This window comes from Homo sapiens, chromosome 11 (assembly GCF_000001405.40).
Source record: "Homo sapiens chromosome 11, GRCh38.p14 Primary Assembly".
NCBI classification, from domain to species: domain Eukaryota; kingdom Metazoa; phylum Chordata; class Mammalia; order Primates; family Hominidae; genus Homo; species Homo sapiens.
Genome location: NC_000011.10, coordinates 100,952,645 through 100,974,662, shown reverse-complemented (window position 1 = coordinate 100,974,662; position 22,018 = coordinate 100,952,645). Strand labels below are relative to the sequence as shown.

The window sequence follows — 22,018 nt, the reverse complement described above, 5'->3', positions numbered from 1 at the left end:
TGAAATACATCTGAACCAAAGAATGAAGAAAGCATCTCCCTAAGGCCGGGTGCACTTACTATCAGGTTCGGCCAGGCATGGAGTATACCTCCCTCTGGGCTTCCTAGACCCTGTAGAGAGGCAGATTGCTCGTGTCCTTCGGGATCCAGATCGAGACTGAGGCTGAGGAAGAGGAATGCTTGGGTCTGGAGCAGTATGAAAAATCTACGTATAAGAAAAATGGACCAAGGTCAATAAAAGGGTGATATTGCCACTTTCATTATAAAATAAGCTTTGAACCATATGCTACTTAATCAGCTGCAAAATATAAGTATCCTAGAGCAATTGTAACTTTTCCATTTATCTGGAGTATTCTTTCACGGGGTTTTCTTTTTTATTCTCTCCCATTTCCCAAAAGTAAAATCTAGAAGATCTTTCAATAACTTTAAGAAACCTTCCAAATATGAACAAGACATATTGATGGTTTTTATTGTAATACTCTCTTTCCACCTTCATACTCTGAAAAAACATAACCTGAGAAGAGCTGAGGCTCACTCTATATCATTTCTCCCACTGAATGGCTCCTTGCTTCTCAGGAGAAGATGCTGCCATGCTGTTGGCTCTGAGCTGCCAAGGAGTGTGGCTAGCTGCAGGTTAAGGTATGTGCAGAGCTACAGGACACAGCCATGTGCTCTTGCATTGTGAGAGAGCTTGTGCCCTTAGATAGACACTAAGGGCATGCTTCTGTGGGTGCTGGGAAGGGACCCAGGGGAGGAGAAGGCCTTAATCATTCTCTCACAAGGACCAGATCAGAGATAAAAGGATTACAAATTGTTAGACCTTAAATGGTTCAATTTGCTTAATACTCCAACTAATTCAGCTTTCAAAATTTCCCATTTTCATAGTTATTCTAAGATCTCACTTTTTTCAAGAAATCCTTCTTAGGGACTAGATATAGAGAAGACTTCAAGACTGTTGCCTATATTTTTTTCTTTTGTTTAGTTAGAACATTACCTCTATATAATTAAGAGTTTGATTTCAAAGGGATACAAAGAGAAGGTTAAAATAGAACCAACCACAAAGTGATTTTAAAATGTTCTCTGCACAGGAGCAATAAACTTACCATACAATGTAAAGAAGAAAACCTTTTGAAGTCTATTATGTAGAAGGAAAGAAAACCACCTAACTGAAGGATTTTGAGAAGCACTTAAAAACAACAAGGAAAGAAAACTGAAGTCCCCATTAAGAAGTAATTTATACAAAACTCATGAGCTCACAGATCAAATGCAAAATTCCTTTATAAAACCAAGATATAAAACTTGACACTTCCACATGAAAATTCCGCCTACCTTTTCATAGTGCTCTATCAGAATTTCTACCACAATATTCTGAAATTTAATATTCATCATAGCAGCCACAGTTTCTTCCTGTGCTCTCATTAGAGTTGGGCCAAATATGACACCAAGATTTGAGACAGTCATGAGATTTTGTTGGCTGTGTAGTGATACTCTGCAAATAAAAAGCAACAAAAATATCTTAAGTTATATGTTTCAAAATTATGAAATAGTCTCTTCTATCAAATTTGTGGTGCAAAAAATGTAAAATATGCCATTATAGGGAAATTGTCCTACTTTTAGCCACTTCCAATTGGCATTTGGAGTATGGCCTAAAAAGATGTAAACAGATAACATTAACTCACGTAAAACATAATTACAGGCAAAACAAAATCTATTAAAGAAAAAAACCCCTAATTTCCTAAATCAAGTACAATTACCCTAGAAAGATGATCAGCTGTTTGGTATTTTCAATGCTACTATATTTCTTTTGGAACAAACAGTTAAGAATAGACTGGTGGCAATTATATTCAGAGTCACCAAACATATTATTGAGAATCTATTGCCAGGAATTTTCCTACATATTATTGTATTTAGTCTTCCCAGTAAGTCAGATATTCCTATCGTACAAATTTTAAAAACCTCAGAGGCTCCTAAAGAAACGTGTATTTTGAGGTCACAACAAATTCAGGACAGAGGTGGCTGTTTCAATTCAGGTCTCCTGACTGCAAGTCAGTGGGTTCCTTGAGCTCCTGGGATAGATCATTGGCCAACATGTTTCTTTTCTTTCTCTTTCCTCTTTCCATCCATCCATCCATCCATCCATCCATCCAAAACTTCCCTGAGTACCTCCCTAGTATTGGGTGCTGTGCTAGGCAAACAGTGAGACAAGGAGATGTGGTAGCATCATTGCTGGCTTGACAATCAAATCAAAAACCTCTGATATCACTGACCTGAGTGAAGTAATCCTAGCAACTCTCAAGAACGACTTTGACTAGTTCACTAATCTATTCTGGAAATTAGATACATTCTTTAGAGGATACCTCATTTGTTTGACTTATCTTTTAGTTTAACCACTCACTTTTCTATCTTACTCCAAGTCAGGTTATTAGTATAACACAAGATTATGTTTATGTCGGACTGACCATGCGTCACAAACTGCATTCTACAACCAAAAGTAAGATTTTATGGGAAATCCAGGATTTTAGACTATCCATGCAACTCCTGTCACAAAACAGGAAGAGAAAGCTGCCACGCTGACTGACGTTTTCCTTATGCCGTAGAGAGCACTAGCTAAGAAAGCATTTACTTCAAGTAAGAAGAGTTTCATTCCAAGTTTCCTTTTAATATAATCAAATACTATATATTAATTGCTTAATATGTATTAGAAAATCTACTCAGGAAAGTAGTATGTAAATGTAGTAAGCCTATCTAGATTCAGAGCTTGGATCCATCTCTTGGAAGTTGGGTAAGCTCATTTATGTTATTTAATATCTCTAGGTTTCGGTTTCCTTATCTGTAAATTATATATATAACAACCCATGTTAGGTTGTTGTGAGAACTAAATAAAATAATAAATTGTATATGATCTCAAGATAATATTATCCCTGAAATTAAATTAGCTTTAGGCACTCTTGCTAAAATGTCATGGTTCCCATAATGTAAATAAAGTGGAATATAGTTAATATTAAGCTCATTAGGAGTAAACTTGGGAATCTCAAAAACTTGGTTTTGAAAGGTGGGTTAATGACTACATTGCACAGAAGATGGATTATTTTAATGACTGATTTTCTTTTTATTGAATTTTCTTTCTGCTGGGCTACTCAATAGATACAGACTCCCACCACTCACCATTTCAGCAGGTTCTACTACTTATTTCCCCAATTCATGTAGGGAGCTGATACTCAACTGCTGTCTCCTGGAACATCTCTCTTTCTTTTATTAAAAGAGGAAATGTATATCAGGATCTGTCAACTTGTATTGTTTCAAATCTAGGAGTTTACAAATAAAGAAACCAACATTATATACTTAAGAGTTCTACTTATGGAAATGGTAGAACATAAGGAGCCCCATGGATCCAATAAACAGAGAAAAAATCATAAAGGATAAAAATTATTATTTAAAACCATAACCAAAAACAGTTAAAGTCTCTATAAAAAAAACTTAAAGAATAAAGAAATATTTGTTCAAGCAAATCTACTAATTATCAGTAAGAAAAGCCGAGAGTCTGTGGCTTTTGAGGTACAACTGGCTCCCTCTTTCTTCCACCCTCAGCTCAATATGACTAAAACTTCACTCTGGGCAAATGTGGCCAAGAAGACAGGGCTCCCTCTCTTCTCAGCCCCAAGTCAAGTGATGCAGTATCTCATGGGGTTGGCAGGCTGTGAGCATATCTCAGGCCCTCTATCTCTGGGTTGCAGAGGCTGAATTCCCAGCGAATGCAACTCAAAAGGCACTCACTGGGAATTCAGCCTCTGAAACCCAGAGAATTCTTTGCCTCCAACTAGCCAGACATCTAGGGTGGATGGCTTTACCTGAGGTGCAGCAGGCCAAGAATATTGGTGCCAAAATCTCCCTCGTTTCAGGACTACCTCCCTCAGCCAGTGCCAAGAGCAATGGGTCAAAGATTTTACCCAGAGGGGGTAGAGTCCATAAGAACAGAAAACTCTGACTCTCTCGCTAAATCATAAGAAATAACTAGGGAAAGAGACAGAAAGAGCCTTTTTAGCATCATAACAAATCTCAAAGACTGTTTGTTTTTTTTTTAAGTGACCTGGCAAGGAGCTGGAATTTAACTGGATATGCTCCAGGGTGTTGTCAAAAACAACAGAGCAATCTACTAGCAGTTAGTGAAAACTAACAAGCTGGATGTGATACCAAATGAAGCAGACATATTTATAGATCACCTAAGGAAATAAACAGAACTCTCCTGAAACTATTGTTATCCCTGGGTGACTGTGGTCATGTCCCAGGCTGCATTCTCTGAAGAGATAATAGAAGAGGCTTCACACAGAGGGGGAAATAGACTTCATTAAAATAGTTCACTAAAGATACTGAATTAGTCTGGGCACGGTGACCCAAACCTGTAATCCCACCACTTTTGGAGGCCAAGGCGGGTGGATCACCTGAGGATCAGGAGTTCAAGACCAGCCCAACCAACATGGTGAAACTTCATCCCTACCGAAAATACAAAATTAGCCGGGTGTGGTGGTGAGTGCCTGTAATTCCAGCTACCTGGGAGGCTGAGGCAGGAGAATCACTTGAACCCGAGAGGCAGAGGTTGCAGTGAGCCGAGATTGTACCACTGCACTCCAGCCTGGGTGACAGAGTGAGACTCTGTCTCAACAAAAAAAAAAGACACTAAACAAACAAGCAAACAACAATAAAAGCTAGAGAGAATCAGTACTAGTATCAGTATTCGTTGCTACAAAACAGTAGCTAAAATGCCATGTCTTCAACCAAAAAGTATGACAATGCAAAGAAACAGCAAAGTGTGACTCATACACCAGGCAAAAAGTAGATAATAAAAACTGCCTGTGAGCAGACCCAAACATCAGATTTAAACAGAAAAAGACTTCAAAGAAGTCACAAATATATCCAAAGTCCTCAAGAAAACCATGTCTAAAGATAAAGGAAAGTACAGAGGTGTGGTGGCAATGTTTCATCAAATAGAGAATGTGAATAATGAGAGAGAGGTTATTTTAAAAATAAGAACCAAATGTAAATTGAAGTTGAAAAGCACAATAGCTGAAATGAAAAGTATCAATAGAGACTATGCAATCTGAGGAATGGAGAGAAAGAAAAAAATAAAGAAAGATAGATCATCAGAAAAAAATCTGTGACATTAAGCACACTCATAAATGCATAATGGGAGTACCAGTAGCAGATGAAAGAGAGAAGTAGAAAAAAATACTCAAAGATATAGTGGCTGAAAATTTTCCAAATTTAATTTAAAACATTAATCTATATATCCAAGAAGCTCAACAAACTCCAAGTAGAATAATTGCAAAGATATCCACAGCAAGACACATCACAGTAAAAGTGCTGAAGCCAAAGACAAAAAGAAAATTCTGAAAGCATCAAGAGAAAAAGTCTTACTGGGGTCTACAAGGAACCCCAATAAGCTTATTTCTCAATAGAAACAATAAAGGCTAGAAGGCAGAGGGATGGCATATTCAAAATGCTTAAAGAAAAAAAAAGTCTGCCAACTAAGAATCTTCTATCCAGCAAAACTAACCTGCAAAAAGGAAGGTGAAATAAAGGCATTTTCAGGAAAACAAAAATTGAGAGAACTTATTGCTAGCAGATCTGCATCACAATAAATACTAAAAGATGTTCTTCAGGCTGAAGGCAAGTGACCTTAGACTGTAATTCAAATGCACATGTAAAAACAAACAAACACACACAAAAAAACAAAAAAACACCCAGTGTAGGTAATTATGTAATTAAAAGAGTAGAAATATATATTTCTTCTCCTTCCTTTTCTTGATTTTAAAATGCAATTTTAATAATATGTATGTATTAATAATTATATTGTTGGGCCTATAACATTTAAAAATGTGATATATTTGACAGTAACAGCCCAAATGAAAAGCATAAAGCAAAGCTGTACTGGAGTAAGAAAATAATACCAGATGGTAACTCAAATTCACAGGAACAAATGAAAAGGTTAAAAAATGGTAAGTAAGAAGGTTAATAAATGTATCAAACTCTATAAATGTACTTACTCCTTTTCCCTCAACTTCATTAAGAAGCATTAAATTACATAAATAATTATAACAATGGATTGTTGGGATATAACATATATAGATATAACATGTTTATTAATGATAGCACAAAAAGGAGAAAGAGGAAACAGAATTATGTAAAAATAATGTTTCTATGCTCACATGAATTAAGTTAAGTACATTCTGATAAGATGTATATGATAAGCCCTAGAAAATCTATTAGGACAAGAAAGCAGTAAAATTGGAACTGAATAGCAAAGACAACATGAAACATATAGAAAACAAAAAGAAAAATGGTAGATATAGGTCCAACCACATCAATAATAACATTAAATGTGAATGGATTAAACAATATAATCAAGTCAGAGATTATCAAAGTGAATTAAAAAACAGTAAGATCCAACTATATGCTTTCTACAGTAGATATACATTAGACTCAGAAATACAAACAGGTTGAAAGTAAAAGGATAGAAGATGTATCATGCAAACAGTAACCAAATGAAAGCCAGAAGAACTGTACCAATATCATACAAAATAGATTTTAAAACAAAGAAATGCTATTAGAGATAAAGATAAAATATAATGACAAAAGGATCAATCTGGCCAGGTGTGGTGGCTCATGCCTGTAATCCCAGTACTTTGGGATGTTGAGGCGGGTGCATCACGAGGTCAAGAGAGCGAGACCATCCTGGCCAACGTGGTGAAACCCCGTCTCTACTAAAAATGCAAAATTTAGCTAAAATTAGCTGGGCGTGGTGTCACATGCCTCTAGTACCAGCTACTCAGGAGGCTGAGGCAGGAGAATCACTTGAACCCAGGAGATGGAGGTTGCAGTAGGCCCAGATCGCGCCACTGCACTCCAGCCTGGCGACAGAGCGAGACTCTGTCTCAAAAAAAAGAAAAGGGTCAGTCTAACAGGAATATATAACAATTATAAACATATATATATAGCTAATAACAGAGTACCCAAATACATGAAGCAAAGTCATGTGCTCCTAAGTGGGCTTTCCAAACAGAGAACCAAGAGTTTTGTTTAGTTTCACATTTGTACTGAGTAAGGATTATTGGTCACCTGAATATTATTGAATTAAAAACATCGATTGGCAAATTTAATACCACTAGCAAATATCCATGTGTAAAATCAAAAGGTTTTCGTTTAGGAGAAATCAACTTTCACTTTTTCCTTTATATTCAAAAGAAATTCCATAATAATTTTCTAAAATGTTATATCTCCTAATGAATACATAAGTCCACCCACAATATATATTTTTTGTAATTTAATAACACTTTTAAATATTTAAATTTAGTTGAGAATCAAAGAAAACACCACAGATAGCAAACAAAAGGACTCTTAGGAAGAAAGCAATGATTTATACTGTTACTCAGAGTTAATTAATGGAAATTTGGAATCAGTCTTTAGTCTTTGGAATCCCAATCTAGGTAGACTGTCCTAATTTTTTTTCAGCCATGAAAGGTTGCCAGGGATCAAGAGTGTTATTAGCTGTTTGCTGTTTTTATAAGTAAATTTGTGGTGATCTGAATGCACATTCGGTGAGCAGGGCTTGACCTTTTGTAAGTTCAGAAAGAAGCCAGGAATGCTGGGGAAGGATGAGCAAAGTAAGTTATATTTCAAATGTATATGGCTCAAATAAGCATAAATTGGGTTATTACTAATTATGAACAATGAAGGATTAATCATTTTATTGTAAACCATGGTACTCATTAAAATGGGAAATATCCCTATTAAATACTAAATAATGCTACAGGAAATTCTTAAGTAAGTTTAAAACTGGATTTAGACATTTGTTTCCAGCACCATAGCAAACTCACTTCGGGCTTAAATATGTGTTTGTCTCTCTCTCTGTAGCTTTCAAATTATAGAAAGATAGATAGTAGATAGATATAATATTTATAATGATTAATTTTACATGTCAACTTGGCTAGGCTATGATACCCAGATATTTGGTTGAAGATTATCCTAGATGTTTCTATTAAGGTATTTTGTTCAGATGACATCATCATTTAAATGAGTAGTCTTTAAGTAGAGTAGATTACCCTCCAAAATGTAGGTGGGCCTCATCCAATCAGTTGAAGATCTTAAAAGAAAAAAAACTGAGTTCCCAGAGTAAGAAGGAATTCTGTCTCAAGATTGCCTTTGGATTCAAGCTTCAACATCAACTCTTCCCTGCCAGCCTGCCCTGCAGATTTCAGACTTATTAGCTTCCATAATCAAGTGAACCAATTCCTTAAAATCAACCAATCTCTATCTCTTTATATATATATTAAATATATGTACACACACACTATTGCTTTTGTTTCTGCAGATAGCTCTGGCTAATACAGTATTTATCTACAAAGAGAGATGGTAAATATATGAATAAACTAGCAGCAAAGTTAGAAAAATCTCCAGAGATCAAGTGAAATCATGAATACATGGAGGGAATCTAACAGTTAAGTGTTAGTTTGACCTAGGGGAACCTGTTGACTTTAGTAGTATAGAGCACTGGTCTTCAAACTCATTGCTTATAATGCACCTAAAAGAATTGGGAGGAAAAAAAACTATATACTCCTTCATTTTTAAGTTGACACATCTAATTGTTTCATCATTAGTTTAACAATTGCAAAGGATATAATTATTTGCATAATTATATGCAAATAAACATATACAGGTACACACACTTACATAGAAATATCTTAAAAACAAACTGCCATACTATTTTTTAAGCAAATTCAATGGACTCTAATTATAATACCAATGTTATAACATCATCACACACTTTAAAAAGACATGAACAAACTTAACAATGAACAATAAGTTAAATGAACAATGTAAGTTAGAGAATTACTTGACCAGATGCTTTATTAAGATGTCCAGCATCTCTCTGTTTTTCTCCGGCAATTTGTGCACCAATGCATGTACAGCCTCCACCCTGTAGTTTTGATCATCAGATTCTGTTACATAAAAAAGATTGCAAATGCTCAAGTTTTAATTCCATTCAATTGGGTATGTAAACATTAGTAATCTAATCACAATTACCACTCCTACCCCTCATGCCTCATAGGCATTGCTTCATGTAGTACTGTCATTATCATTCCCTATGGCTTGCAGAAGTTGAGTAACTTGCCCATGGTCATGAAGTTAGGAAGTAGAGAAGCCAAAGAAGCCCAGTTCTACTGATTCCACACAGATGCTCTTAGCCACTGAACTGTATACTTTGATACAGCCAAAACTCATCACCTGCTTGGGTTTTACTACCTGAAGACAGAATCAAACCTTTAGAAATGTGAATGATCACAGCAATTGCTATAGACTGCCTAATGTGCCAGTCATTAGAGTACGTATTAGCCCATTGATATGGTTTGGCTGTGTCCCCACCCAAATCTCATCTTGAATTGTAGTTCCCATAATCCCCAAGTGTTGTGGGAGGGACCCAGTGGGAGGTGAGGTAATGGAATCATTGGGCGGTTACCCTATGCTGTTCTCTTGATAGTGAGTGAGTTCTCACAAGATCTGATGGTTTTATACGGGGCTTTTCCCCCTTTCCTCAGCACTTCTCTCTCCTGCTGCCATGTGAGGAGGCACCTTCCACCATGATTGTAAGTTTCCCGAGTCCTTCCCAGCCCTGCGGAACTGTGAGTCAATTAAACCTCTTTTTCTTATAAATTACTGAGTCTTGGATATTTCTTCATAGCAGTGTGGCAATACACCCACAGAGAGCTCCTAGAGATTCAACCCAGTGTGACCAGATGAAGCCCCAGATTCCTCTCCTTATCTTACAAATATAAAGACAATACAGAAGGGCTGTTCTGAAATGTTAGCATTATTACATAAACACAAGCCCAACAGATTTTTAGCCCATAATGACAACGGTAAATGTAAAATGTAAGAACTCATTTATGGCAAGTGTCGTCTGCCAAGTCAAAGCTAAGATGTTGACATGTCTGCTGGAGAAATGTCTAACATTTCAGAACAAGAAAGCTTCACTTAACATTCTCTTACTGCAGCAAATAAATTCTGGGATGATTGCCCACTATACCAAATTCTTTCTCCAGAAAGTACCTTGACTCATAGGATTCACATTATGGGACTACCATTTCATCTGGGCGCAGTTATTTAGACATGGAGTGAGGAAAGAGCCTGGCTCAGGCTAAACATGAGGTCTAACCTAGCAATTGGAATGGAGACATCAAAAATCTGATCTTTCCGCATATGTGAAAAGGCAGATAATGTAAAATCAGGGCTGAAGTGACCAAATCTACTCCAAGAAAATCTGACTGGGAAGGAAAGTGAGAATGATAGAAATACAGTAGAGAACAAAGATGAGAGATCCTCCAGAAAGAGTGAGTAGAGAAATGTCAAATCCCAACTTGGCAGTTCCTGGTTGCAGGCTCATGGAAACCCTGACCTCTGTTCTGCCAAGGAATTCACTGAAATATCTCTTAGGATCTGAATAACTTCCCCTTTATACTGAGCTGGACTTTTGCTGCTTGAAACCAAATAACCTAATTTTCTTAACTTCACATCTAGTAAATATGGCTATGTTAGGTCCAGACAAAAGATGAGTTCTTATATATAAGATATATAAGATATTTTAAATATCATAGTCATGAATATTATTATAATAATATAATCATCATTTGCCACAGAAGCAAATGGAGAAAAAACTTGTGACCAAAAGCTTGACTAAAACAATAAGCTCATTGAGCCATTTTAGCCAAGTAGCTCAAATTTCTTTTGTTATAAAGCAAAATTTCTGTAAGAAAGGGTTCTGGGTTAAGAGTAAAAAGAACAAAAAACAGGCTTGCAGCCCTGATTTTGCCATGAATTTATTAGGGTCATTGTACATGTTACTTGCCCACTTTGTGTCCTGATTTCCTAGTTCATAGAATGAGAGGTCAGATTATATATTTTTTCTGGTCCTGTATGTCTTACAAAGATTTCTATGAAGAGGAGGTAGAGTGGAGAGCTTCAAGAGAAAACTAAATAGTGTAGATTTATATGAGATCATGTGGTTAGTCATAAATGCTGGATTGAAAACCGAGGTCATTCAACTTTATCTGACACTTTTATCAGCACACATTTCCTGTGACATTACAATGTGTGCAAATAAACTAAAGCAACTAATTTATTTCTTGGATTGTGAAAAATAATCTGGTTGTAGTCACACCTCATACATCTTAACAATGAAATGCCAGCTCTTAATTGTTACAGGTTGTTGTGATGGGCTCAGATGGTACCTGGCACTTCAGTCTCAATGGTTTACAAATACACGTTACTAACTTCTCAGATAACATATGTCAACTCTTCCTGCTAATATTTTAAATTGATCTATCTATTCATATCATATGACGGCAATCACAGATCTAAACAAATGACATAAATGTGATCATTGCAAATAAAATATGAGGGAGAGGGGATTGATGGAAGCACCTGCTGTCTGCCAAAAATATTTGACTCATCTCCAGATTGAGGAATACAGCACATGAGCATGTGCAGGGACATAATCGTCTGTACGTATTTAGAGTCCTGCTTAGTTGCTCTTAAAAGAAACTGGTATTTGTCATTCAAATAAAATGAAATTAGAATAATAATTCCTCATGGTTCTTTATAATCACCACACTTACCCAATGAGGTCTCACTAAGTGTCAAAATATTTCAGTTAATTCTGCAATTTCTTATTGGCTTCTAAAACACATTATAAATTACTAAATATCAGATTAACAACTTTTTTCTTTTTTTTAATTTGAGATGGAGTTTCGCTCTTGTTGCCCAGGCTGGAGTGCAATGGCGCGATCTCGACTCACCATAACCTCCGCCTCCTGGGTTCAAGTGATCCTCCTGCCTCAGCTTCCCGAGCAGCTGGGATTACAGGCATGTGCCACCATGCCCAGCTAATTTTGTATTTTTAGTAGAGACAGGGTTTCTCCATGTTGGTCAGGCTGGTCTCGAACTCCCGACCTCAGGTGATCCGCCAGCCTTGGCCTCCCAAAGTGCTGGAATTACAGGTTTGAGCCACCGCACCCGGCCCAGATTAACAACTTTTTAAGCAATACTTGAAAAAAATCTTCACTAGCTGATACTAGTAATATATGCCTAAGTATGGCAGCATAAAACTACATCAATTATAATGTGTATATGATGCAAGTATACTTACTAACAGCAATGATAAAATCTTTGTGCAACTTGTAAGTCATCAGTGGTTCTGCAAGGCACCTACAACAGAGAAAGGAAACACATGTTAGAATAGTAGAATCTTTTATTCTCCCCTAAACGTTAAGTGTTTCTTTAAGAATTAGGTGACTGTTATTCATCAATTAAAAATAAAATAACACATAAATAAGTAAATAAAAGAATTGGGTGATTTGGCAGTATGATAAAGTTCCAGTAGTGGGGCCACAGAGAGACCTGAAACGCAGACCTCGAAGACACCAATGTACTTCTTTCCATGACTGTATTAAGAGGGGAGACTGGGAGTCTCCCAATATCAGAATTACCTTACCAGAGGAACAAATATGGGAACAATAGTTAAAAAACAAAACAAAAACAACACAACTTTCCATTCCAATTTGTTATTTAAAAAAGTACATAAAAATCCCATATACATATGGGACAACAAATACTAATTCAGTACTCAAAATATTATATAGCCTTTTAAATTATTATTGAAAAAATCAAGTACAAGTTCCAGAACACTAAATGTAAATGTTACCATGTCATGCTATTTCACCTTATGTAAGGGAACTGAGCTACTGAGTGAAGCTTCTGGACACAGGCTCCAAGAAATCACGTGGTTACTACTCAAGGGGTGAGTCAGAGATTACATCCAGAGTACCAGGAGTTAAACCCTCCTCACCTGAGGTAGTTTTTCAGCCCACTTGTTATCGTCTTATTGTCCCACAGTTCAATATCAATATCAATATCAGGAGGGGATTTAGGAGCTGGAAAGAATAAAACAAGGTGTTTAAATTGTGCAGTTCAAAATATTTCTTATGCAATTATGAAAAATGGGCACAAACGTAAGTAGGTCAAAAGAGAGAGGTATTCATTTCTTAGAATGCCAAGAGTTAACATTAGTACTGTTGTTTGCGTGAATTGATAAAAAGCTGACACTAAACCTCAAAGATATATCTTATGAAATAAGTCTCCCAAATGAAATTATTGCTAATTGTTAACATGACAGAGCACTTACCATGTGCCTAGCATGCTTCTAAGTGCTTTACGGAGATTAACATAGTCAATCCTCACAACTCTTAAGAGGCAGGTACCATTATTATCCCTATTTTTATAAATGAGGAGGCTGAGACACAAAGACGTTAAGCAAATTACTCAAGGTCACAAAACCTGTAAGTGGCTGAGCTAGGATTCCAAATGACTCCAGCTAGCATCCATGCATCTTATTGTATCTCTAGCTTACCAAAGGACACTTGGGGAAAAAAAATACAGTATTATAAAAATGCCCCCTCAAATTCTCATCGTTCATCTATTATAAATGAACATTAAAAACTGAATACATATATGAACTTTAAATATTATTTGAAAATATTCAAAGACAAGCACTAGTCAAAGAAGTCCATACTTTAGATTACCTATAAGAACACAAAAATTATGTAAGTTGCTTCATCCAAAACTTACAAAATGTGGTATTCATGAGTTTTTGAACTTTGGAGTTCACTCCTCCTATTCGGTAGAGTCCTAAAATGGTGATACCTAATAGGAAGGAAAATCACAAGAAAACGGCTTGAGATACAGCTTGGCAAGTACAGAATGTTAAAAACTCAGACATATGCCTAACAAAATTTGAAAGCTACTTATCCAATTTCACAGTCTAACTTTAGCAAAGCTATCCTGGAAATACCCATCAGACTTCTATTTCTCAGAGCAGACACTGAACAGTGATTTGAAAGTCTTTGAAGATCTTCAAAGTAGCAAAGTGTAGCTGCCTATTCACCATTATTTGAATATAAAAAAGCAATGGAGATGGGAAGGGATGATCGATATTACTCATATTCTATTTCTTCAGAGTCATGGAGTCCTCCTGCATGTTGAAAAGTCCTATGGCATTTATATCTTCATTTTAGAGATGAGGAAACAGATTCAGAGAATTCAAGGAAACTACTTCTCAGAATGTTGAAGTGGCAGCACTTAAAATTTAAATATAAGTTTATGGAACTCCAAAACCCAATATGAATTTTGCTTTAGCCAAATTTTCCTAGAAGTGAGTTTAAAGTTTAACTGGAGTGGACTTCAAGACAGAGGTCATGATTAAAACGAAGAAAGGTACCAAAACTGTGGCAGTGACAAATCAGTAAAAGAAAGACTATAAGGAAGGAAGGGAGTGAAGACAAGCTCCTTAAGAATCTTACCTCCTTAATGCTTGGAAAAAAAAAAATCAAAGAGGTGCTTGCAGTAATAAATAATGCAGGGCTTCTCAATAAGAAGTATAGTGAGGCTGTATTAGAAAAAAATCTAAAAAAGAAGTATGCCTAAAGCATGATTTTTAGTAAACTGAAGCTCAAGGTATAGCTATTTGTATACCGATACATACATTTATATTACTCTTAAAATTAATCCATGTTAATGACCAAATACATCTTCAATGATTTATCTACTCTGAGAGTTTTCCATGTAAGAATGAGACACATGACAGGGATGCTGTACCAATCAGGCAACACTGACCTCTTGTTTCCACAGCTTGAATGCATTTTCTCACAAAGTTGAACCCTGCTTCATTCAAATACACTGAAAATAAGAGAGAAATCGCATTAGGTGTTTACGCTGAACTCACATTCCCCCTTCAGTTGGCTCTGTTCACTGGGCCTTTATGACTCAACAGTAGAGAGGTTTTTTCTGAGTCTTCCAAATATTTTGGTTAGAGGCTGACTTTTTATTTTGGGGTAGAAGTAGAGGAGGGAACTTCACCCTCACAGCTATTGTATCAACCTGCTAAGATCCTTCACAGAAAGTATATTACAATGATCTCATCCACTTTTCCTAAAAATAGCATTACTCCTTTACTACGTGTTTTCTTTCAGATGATAGGAGCAAATGCAGTAAGAATAAATCCTTATTATGTATTGAAACTTGTATTATAAAGCCTTTCACATATCCTTTCCCGCGATTCTCAAAACATTATGAGGTAAAGAAAAGGCTCTGCAGTCTTAAGATGATTCCCTGGGTTGCTGAAAACCTCCACTGCTCTCAGTTTTAAGCTCTAGAGTCAGGATTCAAACTCGGGTCTGATTCTACGCTCCATGTTCTATTTTTCATTTTGCTACCATATTTAAAATAATTCAAAACATGCATTGTCAGTCACTAAACATCCCCAAAAGGTCCTAGGATTATGAAATTGCAATTTATTTTCATTGTTTTTTGGCTAGATTTTCTTTGGATCAATTCTAATTTTTTTAAAGGGTTTTGGGGCGAGGTCAAATTAAATTACTTATTTAAAGAGAAAGCATTTATTTAAAAAATACCAACTAACACCCAGAGGAGAAACTGAAAATTTTTTGAACTATGATACAAATTTTCATCACGTGGTAGTGACATGATTTTTAAAATATTCTCAAATAATAAATGAGGAGAATTCAAACCAATACAAATTTAAAACTAACTTCCATTTAAAGACAGTAGATTAAACACATTCTTGTAACTCAAAATAGATCCCCAGACAAAAAAATATATATCAAAAAAATTATGATAAAAATCAAGAAAGGGTAACAGCAACAAACTAAAAACTGAAAAAAATTCTAGGCACAGCAAGCCAATGGAACTGAATTGATTGACAGAAAGGCGTGAAAAATCTGTGCCTAACAATGGAACTAGAGGTACTACTATGAAGAGGTATTTATTATGTGTTGTTAGGTGACAAAAGTAATCGACAGGACAATAAGGCCTATTTTCTCAAAATGTAAAAATTTGAGGGTATGTATGACTGTTTCTATTTTCCTAAGAAAAAACTCCACAAATATATATGCAAACTACTGGTAAGGAGAAAGAGGGCAAAAGTTAGAAATTGTCATTTTTAATTCACTAGGCATTTTGGGATTATTTGACATTTTGAAAAATATATATATATGTGTGTATATATATGTGTGTGTGTGTATGTGTTTAGTACTCTAAAAAGAACTTCAAAACTCTAGAAATAAAAATGTCAAAACTAAAATAAGTATTGCCATCAATGGGAAGTGGCTCATTTATTTCTTTGTCCCCAGTGTCCTAGGTCAAAAGAACAGAACTCAGTGAATACTTTCAGTGAACTCAACACACAAAAATGAATGGCCATGGCATCTCATCAGAGTGCAGCTAATGACCTACCTACATGAGAGTGAAGCTTTTCTTGGACACCAAAGAGAGATTGCTTGCTTCCAATAACCCCAAAATGCCCAGCATAACACTAAGCATTCAGACATTTTAAAATACTTTTTGAATATAGGAGACAGGTAAGATGGAAAAGTGAGGAATCATTTAATTTTCAGTTTTAAGGACAACAACAAAAACTGAGACAAAAAAAAGTAACCCTAGGTAAAAGCAAGACACTAGCATTTTTATATCAACTAAAACTGCAAGTTCCTGACATTTAAAATGTTTGGTACTAGAGGTCACATTGTTCTATTTTTCACTAAAAAGATATATTAAGAGAAAAAGACAACCATTTAAAAAAATTTCAATAGAACTTCCTTTCAACAAAAAGGAATGAAGATAGTAGTGACATAAAACAGAATTTCTCTCTTAAGTATTCATTTTGAGAAAAATAAGTAATAACCAGGCTGTACCTCAAAGTATACTGGGATATTTGGCAGCAATATTCCAGTCTTTTCTAATAAACTGATATCACAAGCTCATCATGTAGAATGACATCTTACTGAGAGTCAGTCTAACTGCAGCGTTACTCTACGGATGCTGCCGTTCTGACATATTCCATGGATCCTGTACTTAGCTCCCGTCATGTGAGTAAATACAACATTATCAACCAATTCAGAGATGTGGAAGAATATACTGTGTTGGCAAAAATAACCATGAATTTTTGTTTCCTTTGACCATCCTTTGCTTTGACTGAAAGAGTAGTTTCATGGTGCAGAGTTAGTGCACAGCTTTGTTTAAAGCCAGGAAAACCTAAGGCCAATTCTCAGCTCTAGTATCACTGCTGTATGTCTGAGGTAGGGGAAATGTGCCTATTATTTTATAAACAAGTTCCTTCATTTATAAAATGAGGGAAGTAACAATACCTAAGTTAAACAGTTGTAGTAAGATGAAGACAAACGGAAGAGTGCCTAACAATGGAACAAGACGAATTCAATGCTAGGTTTTTTTTTCCTATCTGCTCCTGTCTACACATCACTGCTATATGAAGGAAAACATAAGAAGAAATTATAAAAGAAGCCAGTCATTAGTTCTAATTAGATGAGAGGGGCAGTAGTTACTCTTCCACTTATTAGCTCTGTTACTAGGCATGGTTTTGATCTCTGTGCCTCAGTTTCCTCTCCTACAAAATAAAGATAATAGTATCTTCTTCATAGCACTGTTTAAAGATGAAGTAAGTTAACATTTGCAAAGCTCCTAGAATAGTGTATGCTTAGAATATAGTAAGTGCTTTAGAGTATTGGCTCTTATCATTATCATTATTATTGACTAGAGAAGAATGCAAATCTCTACATATGTAAATTTCATGAATAAGGCATCCTTCCTGCAGGGCTAAAATCACTGGGGCTTGAGGGACTGTCAGCCACAAGTGTTGTTTTTTGAACAGGCATATATCACTTTGTCACTTATTTTTAAAATATTCATGGATAGAGCAATGATCTGTTTCTTCAAACAGACATAGATCAGGCATAAACCAGGCAGGCCCTGTGAACCTAGTCACTGAAAAAATAGTAAGTTGGATATTAAGAAATGTCCCTATGTGCTCATTATACTCCAATAAATACAATGAAAAAACATATCCTCTCACTAGAGCTAAACAGACTATAGCAGACTGAAATTACTGTTTACCCATTATCTGTTGTCCCTCCCTGCAAGAAGATTATATTTCTCAGCACCCTTGAAGCCAGGCTTGGTCATGTGATACACATTAACAATGAAATATGAACAGAAGTGACATGTGTCTTTACCCAGCAGCCACTAAGAGCCAGTATGTGGCTTGCAATTTTCTTTTTCCTTTGTCACAGGATCAGCAATGATACAAAGGGAGGCTTCTCTATCAACTCAAGTTCCAGAGTGAAAACAATGTTGAGAGTCACTGCTGACCTATATGGACATGTACTATAAAGAAGAAATGAACCTATATTGTCATCAGCCTCTGAGACTTGAGGATCATCTATTACTAAGCATAACCTGGCCAGTTCTGATTTAGTTGTGTATAACTTAATTCACTGTGGCAAAACTCACTGAAATAAAGGCAATCCCACACAATGAACTTTTCCTCCCTTAACTGGAATATGATGTCCCTTTTGACTACTGACTTATCAATTCACATAACAAAGGCAGCAAAGAGCAGCAGTGGCAGTGCCTGTTGATGGTTGCTTTGCAAACAACCATCAACTATAGACAGCGCCTTCACTTGAGCACCCAGCAATTTCTTCTGAGGTCTGAGAAGAGGACAAGATGGCTAAAATAGTTTGTCTTCCAATGACTGTGGATGAAGTAGTCACAAGGATTGTCATTTCTGAGGGAAGTCAGTGGCAAACACATTCTGTAATGGAAAATGACCAGTTTTCCAAAGCCAAGTAGGGGTTACTATACTTAATGCATCAGTGCTCATGAGAATTCAACTAAAACGTGTCCTCTTAACATCCAAAAACAAAACAAAAAACAAAAAATCAAAAACACCCGGGAACTCTTTCATGTTCAAATGTCGATGGAAAGGGTTATTACTAAATCAAATTGCACCATTAAAAAGGCTGATAATTAATGATAATTCTCCTTCAGTGGAGGACAAGGTACTTCTGGGGCAACAGCAAGGAGAGGAGGATAAGTATCCTACACAGGAGAAATAACGATTGCTGATTTGGGCTCAATGCTTGGCCCAGAGCAGGCAGCCAATACATGCTTATTGATTGATGGCTTGCTAGTTACTGGTTTGTACCAGGATTGCTCAAGTACCTTCTCTGATGGTTTCTATTAGGGTTAGAGTTGATTAGCTTACATAAGCTACATTTGTGAACACTTTCCCAGTCCCAAGCCCTACCCCAGCCCTGTATCTCCTCCATTGTAGAGAGAAGCAGAGGGATACCCAGAATACAACTACTACCAAATTCTGTAATATGAGAATTAGAATTCTATAACATTAATGATACTTGGCCTTCATGGGTGAGGGTAGAAGCAGAAGACAGACTAACTTAATCAACTTAATATATTCAATCAAAAGTTAAGCCTAAACCTTTTTTTTTCCCCCTCTGTAAACTGTTCAGGGATAAAGCTTTTATTAAAACCTTAAAAAAATTTCCATAAGGCAGTTTAGCAGCACAAAAGCTATTAATCTCAACAGAATTCAAACAGCCATGAGGAAAGGAAAAAGAATAGTCTTCCACAGAGCTAACAAAGCAAAAGTCCTTACACCTTCAATTTCCTAGCAATTCAAAACCTAGTATGTCCTTACAGATGTAATCTACTTGACCTTACAGTACATTCTCAGGGTTGACAAAACAAAGCAACATTTGTCTTTAATTTTTAATTCACTTTGCTGATCTCCTGTTTCAGATTAAAAGGTCCCTTATCACAGATAACTAATATCATGCTGTATGTTAACTGAAATAAATAAAAAATAAATTAGTACATTTATCAGTGTTCATGATACCTACTGGACCTTTTCTCTGCTCCTTAAGGATGGGCAGTTAACTCTCCATAGCCCTGGCCCAAATTCTTCTTTCATTCTGCTCTGCCCATGAAGAGCACTTGAGCTATGACATCTTCTTGGGCCTCTGTGATAAAAACAAAACTGTAACTGATCAAAGATCAGGGGATTATATGGCAAAGAAGGAGGATGATAACCTAGGGACATCTGAGAACTTCCAGAACCAAACTATCTAAACCACAATATGAAGCTCAAGAACACTCATAACAGATGGTAACTGCATAGAATGAGAAGAAGAAAAAGCTTATTGCTGTGGAGAATAGATACACGGGTACACTTGAGGAAAGCCACTTAAACACACAAGCAGAAATTTAGAGCTGTTGGGAAATTTCAAGACTATCTTCTGTTCCAATCCCTTCAATTTTGTATAAGGACTGAATGTTAGGTGACTTTGTCATTACACACATAAATATTGACTTTTATTAGCGGAAAGTCAATGGAAAAGAACTTCCTTTTTCTTACTCGCAGTACCTGGAGTAGAGTAGGTGCACAATGGAATATTTTTGAACTGACTGCATGAGAGAATGAGATCTAAGTGCCTTTTCTTTCACAGTGCTCACCTTCTCCAGACCCAGGGTTGAAGGACCAGCTCAGAAGCCATCACACAAAACTCATATTTGAATGGGGACAAGGCTCAGGGCACCAATTGAGAATGTCAGAGAAAGAAAGCCTAGAAGAAATGTTAACTGCTTTTGCCTCTGTAAATGACTGTTCCAAGATGGAGGTCTTGGGGCAGGAAAGGTATGTCATAAAATGTAATTTGTTCCTTTGAAAGATGTATTCAAATGGCAGAACTACAGAAAACATATGGGTGAGCTACTTTTTACCAAATGTCCCCAGTGTCATGGCTTGAGGACTAGTTTAGTGCTAATCTTAATTGAATGGCATCTGTTTAATACTGATGATAGATATTACTACTACAAAAATAAATTCATTCCCAAAGTCTTACAATTTCATGGATATTGCAGCATATTTTACAACCAGAAAAGTATTTGTAAATTCAATACCCTGTCATTGACCAATATTTTATTTTCTTATTTGATGTTTTTTCATAAAGGTGATTCAAGCTTTCCTTTTCAAGTCTCATTTATGGCATCCATACTTTGAAAATGGTAAATTAAGAGTAACTATTAATACAAGGTAGGAAGACTTTTGCATGTTAGTCTCACAAAGAGTAGCATGAAACTACAGTCACAGCATAGTTTTATTCTTCATTCTATGGCATTTGTTCTCTGTAAATTCATACTATGGCCCTATTTTAGAACATTAGATATTTCTCACACTGTTGCTTGTAGGATTTTCAGTGAAGGCACAGATGTTATGATTGCTTCTAAATGGCTGGCATTCAAACAAACGTTTACCTAAGTTATATATTTTACCATCCTAAACTTCATTGTCTTCAGCAGTTCAAAAACACAAATACATATTATGCAAAACTGAGTTTCCAAAGGACAACAAGAGTATTTTAGAATAAGTGGAAGCCATCTGAATTATGGAGGATATAAATGAGTACTCTTCGAAGTGGCCGGTGAGTTAGGGCTGGTACTGGTTTCCAATACCAGTTACAGGAGAAGTTACATACTGAAATTGATGCAATGCTACCTTTAGGGGAGTCAAATATCAACTAAAAAGAAATACAAGATCTCAAGAACAGGATGATGTACAAAAAAATGGTTAGAGCGCCTGACAAAAAGAAAGATATAAACTGATTTAAGCACTTAACACAATGAGCTCACATGACTTATTCAAGACCTAACAGGTATAAGAATTTCACAATCACTGAAACACAAATTTACCCGAGGAGTTCGACAGGAGTTTGATACCAACATGGCCAACATGGTGAGGCCCCATCTCTACTAAAAACACAAAAATCAGCTGGGCACTGGGCGTGGTGGCATGTGCCTGTAATCCCAGCTACTTGGGAGGCTGAGGTAGGAGAATTGCTTGAACCCAGGAGGCGGAGGTTACAGTGAGCTGAGATCTTGCCACTGCACTTGAGCCTGGGCAACAGTGTGAGACTCCATCTCAAAAAAAAAAAGCCTGACTTAGGTGAATTAGTAATACCACAATGTCCACCCCAGAGGTGCTGGCAGCTAAATTCTGGAAAGTGAGTCCAATCCTGTGCCTT

The 22,018-nt window shown here is 36.3% G+C and overlaps 1 protein-coding gene across 5 annotated transcripts in view; it reads right to left on the bottom strand.

The window, feature by feature from the left end:
- Positions 1 to 22,018, bottom strand: part of ARHGAP42 (Rho GTPase activating protein 42) — a 306,654-nt gene that overhangs the window by 19,279 nt on the left and 265,357 nt on the right. For all 5 annotated transcript variants that reach the window (NM_001367945.1, NM_152432.4, XM_011542616.3 and 2 more), the window contains 7 exons: positions 14,718 to 14,780; positions 13,674 to 13,748; positions 12,895 to 12,979; positions 12,196 to 12,254; positions 8,887 to 8,992; positions 1,329 to 1,488; positions 60 to 204 (listed from right to left, as the gene is read on the bottom strand). In NM_001367945.1, coding sequence (NP_001354874.1) covers positions 60 to 204; positions 1,329 to 1,488; positions 8,887 to 8,992; positions 12,196 to 12,254; positions 12,895 to 12,979; positions 13,674 to 13,748; positions 14,718 to 14,780 — 693 coding nt within the window. The remainder of the gene's footprint in view (positions 1 to 59; positions 205 to 1,328; positions 1,489 to 8,886; positions 8,993 to 12,195; positions 12,255 to 12,894; positions 12,980 to 13,673; positions 13,749 to 14,717; positions 14,781 to 22,018) is intronic.